Genomic DNA, 18,593 nt, shown 5'->3' on the forward strand with positions numbered 1-18,593 from the left:
AAGGAAAATGGGGGCAGAGCAAGATCACAAGGCCAGGGTGAGATTAGAACTGCTGATGAGGTTTCATGTCCCACTGTACACCCATTGTCACTGATAAACATCTTAACAAGAAACAGTGTTTTCTAGAGCAGAAAACCGGTCTGACTAGAATTCGCCAGGCTGGAATTTCCTAATCCTAGCAAGCCTGAGGGCACTGAAGGAGACCAGGGCGTATTTTATGCCTTATCTTCAACTGCAAAAGACAGACACTCCCAGAGCGGCCATTTTAGAGGCCGCCCCCTGGGAATGCATTCTTTTCCCAGGGCTGTTCCTTGCTGAGAAAAAGAACTGAGCGCTATTTCTCCTATTCGCTTTTGCAAGAAGAGAAATATGATTCTGTTCTGCCCAGCCCCGCAGGCAGTCAGACCTTATGGTTATCTCCCTTGTTCCCTGAAAATCACTGTTATCTTGTTCTTTTAGAATGCCCAGATTTCATACTGTTCAAACACACCTTTCACAAACAATTTGTACACATAATGCAATCATCACAGGACCCTGAGGCAACATACATCCTCAGCTTATGAAGATGACAGGATTAAGAGATTAAAGACAGGCATAGGAAATTATAAGAGTATTGACTGGGGAAGTGATAAATGTCCATGAAATCTTCACGATTTATGTTCAGAGACTGCAGTAGACACGCGTAAGAAATTATAAAAGTATTAATTTGGGGAACTAATAAATGTCCATGAAATCTTTACAATTTATGTCCTTCTGCCATGGCTTCAGCCGGTCCTTCCATTCAGGGTCCCTGACTTCCTGCCTAACTGGGAGACACCTCCAAGTAGGGGCCGAGAGACACCTCATACAGGCGGGTGCCCCTCTGGGACGAAGCTTCCAGAGAAAATATCAGGCAGCAATATTTGCTGTTCTGCAATATTTGCTGTTCTGTGGCCTCTGCTGGTAATCCAGGAAAACAGGGTCTGGAGTGGACCTCCAGCAAACTCCAACAGACCTGCAGCTGAGGGAACTGACTGTTAGAAGGAAAACGAATAAGCAGAAAGGAATAGCATCAACATCAACAAAAAGGACACCCACACCAAAACCTCATCTGTAGGTCACCAATATCGAAGACCAAAGGTAGATAAAACCACAAAGATGGGGAGAAACCAGAGCAGAAAAGCTGAAAATTCTAAAAACCAGAGCGCCTGTTTTCCTCCAAAAGATCGCAGCTTCTCGCCAGCAACAGAACAAAGCTGGACGGAGAATAACTTTGACGAGTTGACAGAAGTAGGCTTCAGAAGGTCGGTAATAACTAACTTCTCTGGGCTAAAGGAGCATGTTCTAACCCATTGCAAGGAAGCTAAAAACCTTGAACAAAGGTTAGACCAACGGCTAACTAGAATAAACAGTGTAGAGAAGAGCTTAAAAGACCTGATGGAGCTGAAAACCATGGCACAAGAACTTCGTGACGTATGCACAAGCTTCAATAGCCGATTCAATCAAGTGGAAGAAAGGATATCAGTGACTGAAGATCAAATTAATGAAATAAAGTGTGAAGACAAGATTAGAGAAAAAAGAGTAAAAAGAAGAGTTTTCAAAAGAGTTTTCAACCAAGAATGTCATATCCAGCCAAACTAAGCTTCATAAGTGAAGGAGAAATAAAATCCTTTACAGACAAGCAAATGCTGACAGAGTTTGTCACCACCAGGCCTGCCTTGCAAGAGCTCCTGAAGGAAGCACTAAACATGGAAAGGAACAACCGGTACCAGCCACTGCAAAAACATGCCAAATTGTAAAGACCATCAATGCTGGGAAGAAACTGCATCAGTTAACGGGCAAATTAACCAGCTAACATCATAATGATAAAATGAAATTCACACATAACAATAATAACCTTAATTGTAAATGGGTTAAATGCCCCAATTAAAAGACACAGACTGGCAAATTGGATAAAGAGTCAAGACCCATCAGTGTGCTATATTCAGGAGACCCATCTCACGTGCAGAGACACACATAGGCTCAAAATAAAGGGATGGAGGAAGATGTACAAAGCACATGGAAAGCAAAAAAAAAGCAGGGGTTGCAATCCTAGTCTCTGATAAAACAAACTTTAAACCAACAAAGATCAAAAGAGACAAAGAAAGCCATTACATAATGGTAAAGGGATCAATTCAACAAGAAGAGCTAACTATCCTAAATATATATGCACCCAATACAGGAGCACCCAGATTCATAAACCAAGTCCTTGGAGACCTACAAAGAGACTTACACTCCCACGCAATAATAATGGGAGACTTTAACACCCCACTGTCAATATTAGACAGATCAACACGACAGAAGGTTAACAAGGATATCCAGGACTTGAACTCAGCTCTGCACCAAGTGGACCTAATAAACATCTACAGAACTCTCCACCCCAAATCAACAAAATATACACTCTTCTCAGCACCACATTGTACTTATTCTAAAACTGACCACATAATTGGAAGTAAAACACTGCTCAGCAAATGTAAAAGAACAGAAATCACAACAAACTGTCTTTCAGACCAGAGTGCAATCAAATTAGAACTCAGGATTAAGAAACTCACTCAAAACCGCACAACTACATGGAAACTGAACAACCTGATCCTGAATGACTACTGGGTAAATAACGAAATGAAGGCAGAAATAAAGATGTTCTTTGAAACCAATGAAAACAAAGACACAACATACCAGAATCTCTGGGACACATTTAAAGCAGTGTGTAGAGGGAAATTTATAGCACTAAATGCCCACAAGAGAAAGCAGGAAAGATCTAAAATCAACACCCAACATCACCATTAAAAGAACTAGAGAAGCAAGAGCAAACAAATTCAAAAGTTAGCAGAAGGCAAGAAATAACTAAGATCAGAGCAGAACTGAAAGAGATACAGACACAAAAAACCCTTCAAAAAAATAAATGAATCCAGGAGCTGGTGTTTTGAAAAGATCAACAAAATTGATAGACCGCTAGCAAGACTAATAAAGAAAAGAGAAAAGAATCAAATAGATGCAATAAAAAATGATAAAGGGGATATCACCACCGATCCCACAGAAATACAAACTACCATCAGAGAATACTATCAACACCTCTACACAAATAAACTAGAAAATCTAGAAGAAATGGATACATTCCTGGACACATACACCCTCCCAAGACTAAACCAGGAAGAAGTTGAATCCTTGAATAGACCAATAACAGGCTCTGAAATTGAGGCAGTAATTAATAGCCTACCAACCAAAAAAAGCCCAGGACCAGATGGATTCACAGCCAAGTTCTACCAGAGGTACAAAGAGGAGCTGGTACCATTCCTTCTGAAACTATTCCAATCAACAGAAAAAGAGGGAATCCTACCTAACTCATTTTATGAGGCCAGCATCATCCTGATACCAAAGCCTGGCAAAGACACAACAACAAAAAAGAAAATTTTAGACCAATATCCCTGATGAACATTGATGTGAAAATCCTCAATAAAATACTGGCAAACCGAATCCAGCAGCATGTCAAAAAGCTTATCCACCACGATCAAGTCGGCTTCATCCCTGGGATGCAAGGCTGGTTCAACATATGCAAATCAATAAATGTAATCCATCACATAAACAGAACCAACGACAAAAACTACATGATTATCTCAACAGATGCAGAAAAGGCCTTTGACAAAATTCAACAGCCCTTCATGCTAAAAACTCTCAATAAACTAGGTATTGATGGACCATATCTCAAAATAATAAGAGCTATTTATGACTAACCCACAGCCAATATCATACTGAATGGGCAAAAACTGGAAGCATTCCCTTTGAAAACCAGCACAAGACAAGGATGCCCTCTCTCAGCACTCGTATTCAACACAGCACTGGAAGTTCTGGCCAGGGCAATCAGGTAAGAGAAAGAAATAAAGGGTATTCAATTAGGAAAAGAGGAAGTCAAACTGTCCCTGTTTGCAGATGACATGATTCTATATTTAGAAAACTCCATCGTCTCAGCCCCAAATCTCCTTGAGCTGATAAGCAACTTCAGCAAAGTCTCAGGATACAAAATCAATGTGCAAAAATCACAAGCATTCCTATGACAAAGGGCTAATATCCAGAATCTACAAAGTACTTAAACTAATTTACAAGAAAAAAAAACCCCCTCAAAAAGTGGGCAAAGGATATGAACAGACACTTCTCAAAAGAAGACTTTTATGCAGCCAACAGACACATGAAAAAATGCTCATCATCACTGGTCATCAGAGAAATGCAAATCAAAACCACAATGAGATACTATCTCACGTCATCATTAAAAAGTCAGGAAACAAGAGATGCTGGAGAGGATGTGGAGAAATAGGAACACTCTTACATTGTTGGTGAGAGTGTAAATTAGTTCAACCATTGTGGAAGACAGTGTGGCGATTCCTCAAGGATCTAGAACTAGAAATACCATTTGACCCAGCCATCCCACTACTGGGTATATACCCAGAGGATTATAAATCATGCTACTACAAAGACACATCCATGTTTATTGCGGCACTATTCACAATAGCAAAGACTTGGAACCAACCCAAATGTCCATCAGTGATAGACTGGATTAAGAAAATGTGGTACATATACACCACGGAATACTATGCAGCCATAAAAAAGGATGAGTTCATATCCTTTGCAGGGACGTGGATGAAGCTGGAAACGATCATTCTGAGTAAACTATCACAAGGACAGAAAACCAAACACTGCATGTTCTCACTCACAGGTGGGAATTGAACAATGAGAACACTTGGACACAGGGCGGGGAACATCACACACTGGGGCCTGTCGTGGAGTTGGGGGCAGGGGGAGGGATAGCATTAAGAGAAATACCTAATGTAAATGACGAGTTAATTGGTGCAGCAAATCAACATGGCACATGTATACCTATGTAACAAACCTGCATGTTGTGTACATTTACCCTAGGACTTAAAGTATAATTTTTAAAAAAGAAAAAAAAAAAAGAAATGGCTAAAATATATAGTAGTCTAGTGACTAAAGAATACAAAGGATTACTTCCCAGATTTTGAATGATGTACTTCAGACTCCTGCAGCATCATACTGCCATTAATTCACATTAGCACTACATTACTGATCTGCATCCAGTCTGTAGCCTGCTATAATCCCAGAGTTTTCTATTTTGTATTAATACATTATAACTATCTAATATATTCCAAATGTCATGTTTGCGACAATGTCTCTTTGCATCTACTTTGTACTTTAAATCTCCCATACCTTGTAACTGTACCATTTCTCCATTATGTTATCACTTTCATTTTTTTCTTCTGTAGTATCTAAAAATTTGATTAATACAGTCTCAAATTATTTATGTCACGAGTAAATCTTCCACTCCATTATCAAAAGCATCACGGAGATGATAAAGCAAAATAAGATTGAATTTCTGATACTTGTCTAAAATAAGCTCTAAATGAGACAGACAGATAAGGAATGACTATTTTAGTGGCAGTATGCCTTCTGATGTCCGGTGGTTGATCTCAGGCCATCCAGTATGAGCCTGGAACTACACATATCAGAGTTTTCCCAATGTTTCTGCTAAAGGCCTGCTAACAGCAGAGGACTAAGAGGTTCTCTATAAGCCTCAATAAAACAAGACAAACAGATCTGACATCAAAATAAACAAGTAACAAAAACAGTAGCCCAAAGCACAATAAATCAATTATCATGTACAATCCATTAATATTTAAGTATTAGCAGCTAGAAAACTAGTACCAAGGGAGAGAAAGTGGACACACTTTCTAAAAGATATCTTACATCAGCAGTTCCACAAGTCTCCTACATACTCCCGCATCGATGACCGCTTGAATTTTATCATTGGGTCCATCTGATAGATATGAGAGGGCCCAGCAGGCATCAGCCAGTACATCAGTGTCACTGACAAACAGCAACCAGGAAAGCACATTCAGACATGGAGAAACCTGTAAAAGGAAAATGATGATTATGAAATTCAATAGACTAAAAGCCAGAAGTGAGGTGAGATACTCAAGAAGGCAACCAGGCATGTACTTGGTGACTTCTAGGGTGATTTACACTTCTAAAGATGAAGCAGCAAGTACCTAAGTGGCATTTCCATCTTTGGCAATGTTGTCAGTGATCTTGCACTAATCTGTAGTCAAAGCCCAAGGAAAATAATTTCAGAGAGCAAAGTTTTATATACATCAATTCTTGGAGTAAGACTCCCTATCAAAACACATTCTTTGTGGACTAAACAGGTAAAGGAACTTTCACAAATGTGAAAACTAGGAAATTCTGTATTTTAGATACTTTGTTAAAGACCAAAAATGCTAAGGTTTTGTTCAGTGAAAAATGATTCCAAATTAAAAACAACTACAAAAATACCCATTTATTTTAATATCCAGAATCTGCAAGAAATTCAAATCAGCAAGAAAAAAAAATCCCATCAAAAAGTGGGCTAAGGACATGAACAGACAATTCTCAAAAGAAGATATACAAATAGCCAACAAACATATTAAAAAATGCAGCTGGGCGTGGTGGCTCACGCCTGTAATCCCAGCACTTTGGGAGGCTGAGGTGGGTGGATCACCTGAGGTCTGGAGTTCAAGACCAACCTGGCCAACATGGTGAAACCCCGTCTCTACTAAAAATACAAAAATTAGCCGGGTGTGGTGGTATGCGCCTGTAATCCCAGCTACTCGGGAGGCTGAGGCAGGAGAATCACTTGAACCTAGGAGGCAGAGGTTGCAGTGTGCCGAGACCGCGCCACTGCACTTCAGCCTGGGCAACAAGAGCAAAACTCCGTCTCAAAAAACCAAAAAACAAAAAATAGATGTTGGCATGAATGTGGTGAAAAGGGAACACTTTTACACTGTTGCTGGGAATGTAAACCAGTATAACCACTATGGAAAACAGTGTGGAGATTCCTTAAAGAACTAAAAGTATATCTACCATTTGATGCACCAGTCCCATTCCTGGGTATCTACCCAGAGGAAAAGAGGTCATTATAAGAAAAAGATACTTGTATACGCAGGTTTATAGCAGCACAATTCACAATTGCAAACACATGGAACCAGCCCAAATGCCCATCAATCAACAAGTAGATAAAGTCACTCAGGACTGGAAAACCAAACATCAGATGTTCTCATTCATAAGTGGGAGCTAAGCTATGAGGACGCAAAAGCGTAAGAATGATACAATGTACTTTGGGGACTCAGGGAGAAAGGGTCGGAGGTGGGTGAGAGATAAAGGACTACACACTGGGTACAGCGTACACTGCTTGGGTGTTGGGTGCACCAAAATCTCAGAAATCACCACTAAACAAGTAACTCATGTACCTAAACACCACCTGTTCCCCAAAAACCTATTGGAAAAAAAAAAAGAATCTCATGGACTCCCAGAGAACTCACAGACCACACTTTGAGAACCACTGTTTTAAGAGAACTGAAAGGATAGTCTCCTAAACAGTATACTAATTGTATGAAGCCTAATTTCAATAAGCTTTACAAATTCTTCCTTCATGCTATGCTTTATTTGCAGTCCCATCGTAAATGTGCACCTTCAAGCTATGCTCTAAATTTGCTTTTTAAATAATAAAGAGAACCAACAAAAACAACAACAACCCTGTTTCTCCAAAAACAGATAAAATTCTAACATTTTAAATTTTAACAAAAATTATCTTCCTGTTCACCTTACCATTGGTTGCAATACTCTTTTAATTGTATTTTTTCTGCCAATGTCCCAAAAGCATAGTCCTTACCTTTGCAAATTCTGGAGGTGGACTTTTCCCTCTACAGAGATTAGACAAAGCCCATACTGCATTCCGGGTCATGGTCAGGCGGTTTTGCTTTGAAAATAACCTAAAAGCACGATGGTACAATGGTAAACTATGTAACAGACAGTGATTATCTGATGACATAAATACTAAATAATAATACTTTTGATAAAGAGATGTCTTCAGATAGCTTTTCTCCAGAACATTAAAACTTCATTAATTCTGATGCAAGTAATTCAGAATTCAGAATTTTGGCATGGAAAAAGATAGGGTGCTTGAGGAAATGATCTAAACAAGAAAATATCTGGAATTAAAAATAACACTAGAAAATCCAAAATGATTTCCAAACATGTAATGCTTTCTGAGGAATCTCTTACATTTTTATTCTCAAAAAGAAAAAAAAAGGAAGAAGGAAGAAGAAACTTACTGCAAAAGAGGGGGAAGGATATTGCAGTCTAAGACATAGTCCCTGCACATGGTACTATCTCCAGCAATGTTGCCAAGAGCCCAGACTGCCTGTGAAAGAATCATTCATTAATAAAGGTTACATAGTTTAATTCCCTCATAATTCTTTCAGATGCCAGTATATCACAATAACACGTTCATCAGGGAGTCAAATGAAACAGTTGTAGGATTGGGGGAGGAAGATAAATAATATCCTAAAGTGTACAACAAACAGAAGGTATTCGGTTTATTAAAGGAAAGAACTAATTCATTTTTGTTTGTTTTTGTTTTTTGATACAGAATCTCGCTCTGTCACCCAGTATGGAGTGCAACACAGTGAAACTCCATCTCTACTAAAAATACAAAATTAGCCGGGTGTGGTGGCAGGCGCCTGTAATCCCAGCTGCTTGAGAGGCTGAGGCATGAGAACTGCTTGAACCTGACAGGCCAAGGTTGCAGTGAGCCGAGATTGAGCCAATGCACTCCAGCCTGGGTGACAGGGACAGACGGAAGGAGGGAAGGAGGGAAGGAGGGAAGGAGGGAAGGAGGGAAGGAGGGAGGGAGGGAGGGAGGGAAGGAGGGAAGGAAGGAAGGAAGGAAGGAAGGAAGGAAGGAAGGGAGGGAGGGAAAGGAGGGAGGGAGGAGAGAGGGAGGGAGGGAGGGAGGGAGGAAGCAAGAGAAGGAGGGAAGGAGGGAGGGAGGGAGAGACGGAGAGACGGAGGGAAGGAGGGAAGGAGAGACGGAGGGAAGGAGAGACAGAGGGAAGGAGAGACGGAGAGAAGGAGAGATGGAGAGACGGAGAGAAAGAAAGACGGAAAGATGGAGAGACAGAAAGAGAGAAAGACAGAAAGAAAAAAAGAGACAGAAAGAGAGTATTTTCTTGCTTACATAAGAAAACAGTGAACAAAAAGAAACTTGCTTTCTGTACTTTTCTGCACAAAAGTGGCAAAGACTAGCCACTTTCTTTTTTTTTGAGATAGGTCTCACTCTGTTACCGAGGCTGGAGTGCGGTGGTGTGATATCGGCTCACTGCAGCCTCAGCCTCCTGGAGCTCAAGTGAACCCTCCCACCTCAGCCTCTCAAGCAGCTGGGACAACAGGCGTGTGCCACCATGCCCACCTACTTTATTTTCTGTAGAGACTGGGTTTCGCCATGTTGCCCTGGCTGGTCTCGAGCTCCTGGGCTCAAGCAAGCTGCCCACTTCAGCCTCCCAAGTGCTGGAATTACAGGCAGGAACCACAGCACCTGGCCTACTTTCAACACTTGAAATTTCTACAAGAAAAAACCTCTATCAGTAACTGCTTACATGGTCTAAAAAAGTACATATACAGGGCTTAAAGAATGTCAGGTTTGGAAGGGGAAGATTATTTTATGTGTCTAAGAGAAATTCTGCCTACAGTCACTAAGAAATTTTCTATTTGGTTAAGACTAAATTTCTAGAACACTCCTTTGTGACAATCCATAGATTACCAAAGCCAACTGGTGAAACTCAGCCCCTTATTATGTTGGGAAATTTTGTGGTTTTTTTTGTTTTTCTTTTTTTGTTTGTTTTGTTTTTTTTGAGACAAAGTCTTGCTCTCGTCACCCAGGCTGGAGTGCAATGACGCGATCTCGGCTCACTGTAACCTCCACCTCTCGGGTTCAAGCAATTCTCCTGCCTCAGCCTCCCAAGTAGCTGGGATTACAGACACGTACCACCATGCCCGGCTAATTTTTGTATTTTTAGTAGAGACGGGATTTCACCATGTTGGCTAGGCTGGTCTCGAACTCCTCGTGATCCACCCACCTTGGCCTCCCAAAATGTTGGGATTACAGGAGTGAGCGACATGCCCAGCCAAAAACTTTCTTTCACCTGCTTCTTTTTGTTTCATTTTTACCTGTTCCTGGACATCTTCAAACTCTGAGCTGAGCAACTCTATGAAGATGGGCACAGCTCCTGCCTGAATCACAATTCGGGTCTGAAGAGAATTTCCTGAAGCAATATTTGTCAGTACCCAAGCTGATTCAAACTATAAAGATAAAAATAATTTTCATTATCTTTTTAGAATGTAAAAGTTTGTTTACTTATAACAGTAACATTTTCTGTACATGAAAAAAAGATTCTGAGATCATTATTTGCACATAACCTATCAGTTGAGTACTATATTAATTTTAAAAGAAGAATATCCAGAAGAAATACCTCAACCTAGAAGAATATTCAGGGTGTCTAAAATTTCAGTTCAAGAAAGAGTAAACATGACACCATAAAAAGAATGAGAGAGTGTTACATATGCTGATATGGTATGATCTCCCAAGATATAAATGAAAACAAAATGCAAACAGTGTACATTAATATGGCATTATACCATATTTTCTAAAAGCGTTAAAAAGGAATATATGCATTAATTTACTTATTGCACAGATTATCTTCAGAATGAGTTAGAGGAAACTAAATACTTGTTGCCTGCATAGAAAGGTGATGGTAACTAGGGAATAAGGATGAAAAAGATACTTTTCACTGGAAAGCTTTATGTGCCTTTTAGCCTGTACCATGTATGTTATCTAATAAAAAAGATTTAAAAACTTCTGTAGAATGGGCAAAGTAAAATGGGGGGAGAATGTTAGTGTGAAACATAAAATACAGGCACAGTGAAAAAGGCAAAAGGTATCAAATGATAAGTAGGTGAAAGGAGTTAACAGCACATAATGAAAAGAAATGACAACTTCAAAGAATAAGAGCTTCCAATAAATGAGAGAGCTCCAAACCAAAATACAGAGATAGGACTTTTTGGGCATTCTTAATAGGGAGGGAAAAATGAAGGTAAACTGACTAAAGGTTGATATATAGCATTACAGCACTGGTAAACAGAAGATATAAAGGAAATTATGGCCAACAAAAAATAGAGCATATTACTAAAATATATCTCTAACACTAACTTGACTCTTTAGCTTAATATTGAGAAATCCAATAATGAACTCTTTTCTATTTAGTTAAGAGTTCTTAATTACATTTCAGGTTGTTTCTTCCACCATTCTGTCTTCTATTTAATAAAGCACATACACAGAAAAAAAGAAAAATTCCATGGCATGTCCTTTAAATCAGAGAAAATAACAAGTCGTCATCAAATGACCTGTGATTCTTCTAAGCTTCCAGATTAACTAAAAGGTAGCTGTCAGGTAGAAAACTAAATTCATTAATCTTTGGGAATAGAGGAAGACAGGAAAATGGGCCATCTGATCAAATCACGTTCAAAGCCATGTTAGTGATAGAAAATTCATAGCAGAAGACACATAACCAATGGATGTTCCAAAGAAAACTATAAAAGTGACATACATGAGTGAGGTAAGGTGGTTTAGTAGCAGCAGGGAGGCCCAGAGTAGGAGTACTTCGGTTAAAGAGCCCGTATCTGGTCCCTTTTTGTTATAACAAAAATTCTGGGGACTTACAGATTAAACCCCAGATATCATGAAATAAAAATTCTTCCCATATTTATCTCTATGATTAAATTACTAATGAAAGCAACACTCAGTCCCTTTCAGTACGTCTGAATTAAAACTTGACATTTGTACCGTACTTTATATTTTCTTTTTTTTCTTTTTTGAGACAGAGTCTCAGTCTTGTTGCCCAGGCTGGAGTGCAATGTCACGTTCTCAGCTCACTGCAACCTCCACCTCCCGGATTCAAGTGATTCTCCTGCCTCAGCCTCCCAAGTAGCTGGGATTACAGGCATGTGCCACCACGCCCGGCTAATTTTTATATTTTTAGTAGAGACGAGGTTTCATCATGTTTGTCAGGCTGGCCTTGAACTCCTGATCTCAAGTCATCCTCCCATCTAGGCCTCCCAAAGTGCTGGGATTACAAGCATGAGCCACCGCACCCGGCCACTTTATATTTTCAAAGTACTATTCACATACTCGCAGATGATCCCTACAACAACCCAGAGATGTAAAGTATCTGGCTTTTCTTGTGTACAAATGAGGAAACTATCTGAAAAAAAATCCAACAATTTGACTAATGACTCGAGTAATGTTACACAGTCAAAGACAAGGACTAAGTTACAGCCTCCTAATCTAATACATTACGAAGCCCAGTCATAGTTTCCTGAAACATAATGCTGACCCAGAAATATTTCATTTGCTTGTAGTTTGGATATCTAGTTCAAGAAATTTTAAATAACAGTATGCCAGATTATTTATACTAAAAAAGAAAAAACAAGTTCACCTAAGATGTAGTTTCTTTTGCTTACTAGGAAAATTAATTTGTAAACCAGAGTCATATGATGTAAGTATAAAAGCAAACTGTCCCACCACAAGGCAGGCTCAAAGTTCAATAAACAGTCATCAGATACTGCAAACATAAAGTCAAATAAATGAAAACTCTAAGGAAAAGCAATCTGGAAAAAAAATAAGATCAGAATACATACCATCTGTATACAAGAAAAAGATTACAGTGAGATTTGGATGCAAAAGAAATTATAATAATAACCTGGGTATACAGGGATATAGTACAGAGTTATTGGTGAGAAAAAATTACTTAGAATTCTAATTGGTGCCAGCGTTCAAACTGCTATTTTGAGTTTAGCACCAAAGATCTCAGGGGAAATGAGGGAGAATTCCAGAAGCTACACAAGTTAATAAAATAGAGAAGCAAAACAATTCAAGTGACAATGACTAAGAAAATGAAAAGTAAGTGAATAACAGCCTGAATACAGATGGTAAAAAAAAGAAATTATTACATCTTAGCAAAAGAATAACATGCCAGTTATGCTTATCACTAAGTAGTACACAATGATGATAACCTCTCAATGCAATTCAGGAATGAAAATCAAAAACAGTTTTGCTATTATTGGGGATAGAAGTAGATGGGTAACTGTAACAAGAGGACCACTGAAAATACAACCATATTCATGCATTAATAAGGCAATAAAACACACACACACAGGGTGCTGATTACTTTGCTGTTTTCACTTTGTGAAAGCTAATCAAGCTGTATTTGTGAAATTTTCTACACCCATCTATACATGTGTGATATGTATGTATGTTTATGCAGGTATCCACATATGTATGAGAGGAGGGAGTAAAAAACAGAATTTCCCTGAGTATAGGCCTCTGTTAATGTTAGAAGAAGTAACTGTTAAACGTATTTATGTTTTTAAAAAATTAGATGTACTTTAAACTACATAACTTCCCTTTCATCATAGTCTGTACTTTAAAGCTGTATTCCACTGAGATTTGCCATCTATTTTTTTGTTTTTTCTAAATGTTTCAGCCTTGGGTACTAGATTAGAATTTAACATGAAATAGTTGTGAAATGGGAAAGCCTAGAATTGATGGCAAACACATATGCATAAAGTTATGATAGAAACAGCCAAAAAAATTAATTAAAGTAAGCAACCCTGTTACCAGGAAATCATTAACCTGGGAAAAAAAAAAATCTAAGAAATGGTATTGCCTGAAGTAACAAATGGTGGCCAAATAAAATCTTCACTTCTTTTGTTGTTTTAAACTACTATATTCTTAATATCCAAGAATGGCATCATACAAGGAAACAAGCTATCATGCAGCTGGAACTACTTATAAACTGTAATTCCACTCATTATTTTTCACTGTCCTGAACTCACTAAATAAGGCTACACCTGAAATCTGCACACTGAAGGTTTGATGTTTTCTCTCTTCCCTTTCTTAGTCTCTACCTTCTGGCGCTCAGTTCCTTAAATAAGGAAAATGAGAATCCAAAGCTGAAGTACTTCTGACCTCCTATCAAGTTTCCCACTCCAGGTTGAGGTACGCCTGGTTCCCTTTCTCCATTTGGATCAGGACTCTGTTGCTGGCCACTTTGCCGGTTCCACTCTGGTTCCTAGCAAATGCCAGGCTCACCTGGAGAGCAAGTGAAAAGAAAGGCTCACATCAGAAAAATAAACCCAGATAGCAAACTCTGCAGAGAACAGTGCCTGAGTCATCTGAGCAACTTTCCAGGAAAGGCAGAGAGATCAATGAAGATGGGAAAAGACACAGGAGGATGAAGGCTTACTGCAGTTTATCACATTAAGCTTTTAGAGGGGACAAGAAAGGCAGAAAAGGGGAAACTAAGCCAATGTAATTCAAATTTACAACTTTTCAAGGATTATCTGTCTAATATTTGGAAATAGAAGGCAATATATTTATTTCTAGCTATTTTTATAAACTTCTATAAGAAAGTTTGGGAATGCCACATCTCAGCATTGCAAAGGACAGCACAAAGATACTGGGCCTGGACTCAAAGAAGCAAAAAAGTAGGCTCACAGACCATGCCATAAACCAGACCAGTCTCATGACAAGGGCTCAAGTCTATCTGAGACCTAGATGTCACTGAGCTTGAGAATGCGCTTAGCTAAAAGCCATTGTCTGCTTCCAAAATCCTAGATTCCACCCATGTTCACCTTCAGCACCTGGGTAGCAATGCTCAAAGCAGGCACTTTTATCTCCCTGGTTTGAGGTACCTTACTGACTTGGGAAGCCAGAAAGAACATAAAAAGACCCTTCAATAGGATTCACAGTTCTTTATCTATGGAATGAAGAAATTAAGTTTGTCCACAAGATTTATTAGTGAGCTGAGCCATCAAATTTCCTCTTGGCACCACATAGCATGACTCTCCTTCTGGAAGAGAAATGACAAAAGCCCTATTCCAAAGGTGCATTATTCAAGTTCTAGTAAGCAGGTAAGAGTATCAGGGATAGCTTACATCTGTCTGCTCTCCAAGAAGGCAGAGGAAGGAGTAACCTCCAAGCTTCCCAGAGCATGTCTAATTATTTGAAAGCATGGTAGATCATCAAGTCTCCTGGCTTTAAGGTCTCTCTCGATATATTTGCCCCCTTGCTTCTGAGGTGGTCAAAGGTCCCCACTAGTCACAGTGGAGGGAGAACACCATGGTGTCCTTAAATGTGCACATAAAAAAGCTAGAGATGGCCCTTAGATAACAAACAGTTGGTTATTTCTCAGAGTTAGGACAGCTAAGACTATCCTCATAAAATCATGAGGTTATCACTTCCGGAGGAATCATTTTGCAATATTTCAGCCTAATTATTAGTTTGCACAAGGGTGGAATCTGGGAGTTTACATAGAAGCAAATTAGAGATTTCTGAAGGCTTTCATCTTCAGATGTGTTAAAATACAAGTTCCAAGATTACAGAGTAATGAATTAAAAAAAGATGTAGAATGTCTTAGCCAGAAGAGGGCACTGTCGGAGAATGTACTTGTACTTTTTAAGGAGTACAAGGGAATGCAGAGATGGGGAAAGATCCATTTCTCCGACTTTTTTCATTTTAGATCTGAAAGGTTATATACCATCTATATTTAATGCATAAAAGAACTACCACCTAATAAAAACCGCCAGATCAAGGAGTAAATTCAGTATCTCTCATCTACTCTCATTCCCAGAGACAGGAAAGAAACACTTTTTTCAGCATGAACAAAATAATTTTCCCTACCTCCCTCTTCCTACAAAGCATTTCAAATGATAAACTGCAGTAAGGTTCCTCATTTGGTCCCTCTGGTTCTCGGCAGGTTGCTTAGGGGATCAGGCTCTGTTCTCTGCAGTGTTGGTTGTCTGGATTTCCTTTTATCCTGAGAAAAGTCTCTCTTCCCTTGCTCTCAGGGTGAACGTGATTATTTTTCAGGTGTCTGATGATCCTGGCCTTAGATGGGGACCAGAATTACAATCCAGGAGGCAGCTAGCAAAACAGAACCTTAATTCAAATGAGCATGGGAACTGGTAAGTGTCAAACTGGAGAAGAAAAACTGATGTGACATTGAAGTACTCTACCTTTTCTGGATTTCTTGTTTTTCCTCTGGAAGGAACTCATCACCGCAACAAAGAGTGTAAAACAAAGAGAAAGAAGGGATAGGAGGAAAGGAGAGAAAACATCAAGGCAAATCATCAAGTTGTATGAATAATCTATAATGGTGTAGACAGTAAGGAACCTGGGGACAGGAGCTATCACTTAACAAAAATGCCCCAGTGTCTACATGGCTCCAGCCTTAGAGTAAAGAACAGCACACAAGGGGTGGGGGATATCTTTGATTAACTAGTTTTTGGCAAATATTTACTTAGAAAGATAATCCCATTTTGTGATCAACTTGGTACCTAACCAATTTTTATAGCTGCATAGTCTCAGGGCCCAAGCCTTTGAGATTAGATCCTACAGGTGAGAATTTAGGGATCACATGTATTTGTAACTAATAAAGGCACTGACTCAGTTGGTTACTCCAGGGAAGTTTACTAAAAAATCATCAGTTTCTAAAAACCCAACTTTATCCAGGGGGAAAAAAAATAGTAGTTTAGAATTTCTAGGATGAGAGTCAGCTGACTGTTGGTTTCTTTTCTTATGAAAATTATTGAATACTTGGCTGGGAGCAGTGGCTCACACCTGTAATCCCAGCACTTTGGGAGGCCAAGCAGGTGGATCACTTGAGGTCAGGAGTTTGAGACCAGCCTGGCCAACATGGCAAAACCTCATCTCTACTAAAAATAAAAGAATTAGCTGGATATGGTGGTGGCTGCCTGTAATCCCAGCTTCATGGGAGGCTGAGGCAGGAGAATCACTTGAATCTGGGAGATGGAATTTGCAGTGAGCTGAGATCTTGCCACTGCACTCCAGCATGGGCGACAGAGCAAGACTCTGTCTCAAGAAAAAGAAGAAAAAAAAAAAAAAGAAAATTCTGAATCCAGAGATTACAAAATTTCCTCTTGGAATCCCTTATATAGTACAGTACTGAAAGCCTAAATTGACACAGCAATAAGTACACAGATTCCTGACAAAGTTATCTCCTTATCGGCTTTTTGTGGGGTGGAGGAAGAATTAATTAGGAACAGATTTGGGAATTAATAAGACTCTGATCTAGCCCATGTTACACCATCCTGAGAAAGCCACCAAGTATCATCTAAAACTCCCTCAACACCAAATTTTATGTAGCCCACACATAAGTTCCTGGCTGTAATGGCTCCTCTGCTGTAAACATTTCCCTATTAGAGAAGTATTATCCACAATCATAAACATTTTAAATGATTAAAAATTATAATAATAATAAAGAGTATAACGAAGGCCTACATGTTAACAAAGCTATGAAAGCAGCTTGCAATGTAGTTGTCAGGAATATCATTATAAACAAACTTAATTCTTCATACAGATAAAAATTAGTAACAAATTTGTGTACAAAATAAAAATTTTCAAAAGGAATTAAGTTATGAGGCAATAAATAAAAATTATTCGCACCTGCAGTGTACAATTCTCTTTTCGTTTGAGGAACTCCACAAACCTGGCCACTACTCCTGGTGTGCTGATAACTTCATCAATAGGAGGGTTAGGTTCTGTTTCCCCATAAAATAAAAGAAAAAAAAAATCCTTTGATTTCAATGCAAGAACTTAACAGCTCAAAACTTCTTAACATCCCTCCCTCCATTTACCATCTCTCATGCTGGAAATCTACCTAAAACAAATGAAATGTCAAATTGGGTTTATCACTTTGAGGACAGGGTAGTCTGAAATGTTTCACAATGAAGACAAGTCTCAATATGAGAATAAAGGATGGGAAAAATTCTTAAAAATTAAATTACTGCCTCCACTTTTTAGAAAACCTAAAAAGCAGGGGGCAAAAAACCCCTCAAAAGACCATTGTTAAGTGTTCTGGTATACTTCCTTCTAGCCTGTTTCCTGTACATGAGTTTTAAGTCTAACTGCTCTTGTCTGTTGTAAATCATCTTAAGGAATTGCATTACAAGATTCTCAATAGGCCTGCAGAATTTAATTTTGTACCTGTAGGAGCTAGCAAGAATTCACGAAGATTGACTTGCCAACTTAGTCTCACTTTCATTCATGATAATACAGTATCCTATAAATGATGTCACTCAATAAAAACTTATAAGGCAAATAGGAGGGAAATGTCATAGACAATCAGATTAATAACTTCAGCCAGAGACTGACAAAGTTACTGACAATATGCGTGTGGCAATGCCAGAAAAATGGCAATTAGATCACAATACTACTAGGGAGATTCTTACCCAAGTCGATGGCCTTACTGAAAGAGGTGACTAATGGTTCAATGTTCATTTGGAAAGGACTCTAATGACATGTCATTTACCTGGTTGAACATTTATATTAACCACGCAGGTAAGCACAAAAAAACAAATTTGATGATTACAATAAACTAGTTAATATGCTGAGTTACAGAAATAACACAGAAAAAGAACAATAAGTCAGAATAGGCAACAACAACAACAAAAAAAAACAGAAATAAAGCAAAGTTCAGCATCTAAGTTTTTTAAATGGCAATTTTTAAAAATCTACATGACTTCACAAACAAAACCTAACAACAGTTCGTGAACAAAAGCACTAGGGAGTTTAGTTTGCTGAAAATTCAATAAAATATTACTATGCCATGACTATC

General features: G+C 38.8%; 1 protein-coding gene across 4 annotated transcripts in view; it reads right to left on the minus strand.

Moving 5' to 3' along the window:
* KPNA1 (karyopherin subunit alpha 1) overlaps positions 1–18,593 on the minus strand; it is a 93,038-nt gene that overhangs the window by 21,900 nt on the left and 52,545 nt on the right. For 3 of the 4 annotated variants that reach the window (XM_005247437.5, XM_024453514.2, NM_002264.4), the window contains exons 5-9: positions 17,423–17,517; positions 10,069–10,200; positions 8,175–8,263; positions 7,733–7,832; positions 5,773–5,936 (exon numbers count right to left, since the gene is read on the minus strand). In XM_005247437.5, coding sequence (XP_005247494.1) covers positions 5,773–5,936; positions 7,733–7,832; positions 8,175–8,263; positions 10,069–10,200; positions 17,423–17,517 — 580 coding nt within the window. Of the gene's footprint in view, positions 1–5,772; positions 5,937–7,732; positions 7,833–8,174; positions 8,264–10,068; positions 10,201–13,924; positions 14,048–17,422; positions 17,518–18,593 lie in introns of all 4 variants that reach the window. The other variant, NR_026698.2, reaches the window with a different exon arrangement.

Source organism: Homo sapiens, chromosome 3 (assembly GCF_000001405.40).
Source record: "Homo sapiens chromosome 3, GRCh38.p14 Primary Assembly".
Classification (NCBI taxonomy): domain Eukaryota; kingdom Metazoa; phylum Chordata; class Mammalia; order Primates; family Hominidae; genus Homo; species Homo sapiens.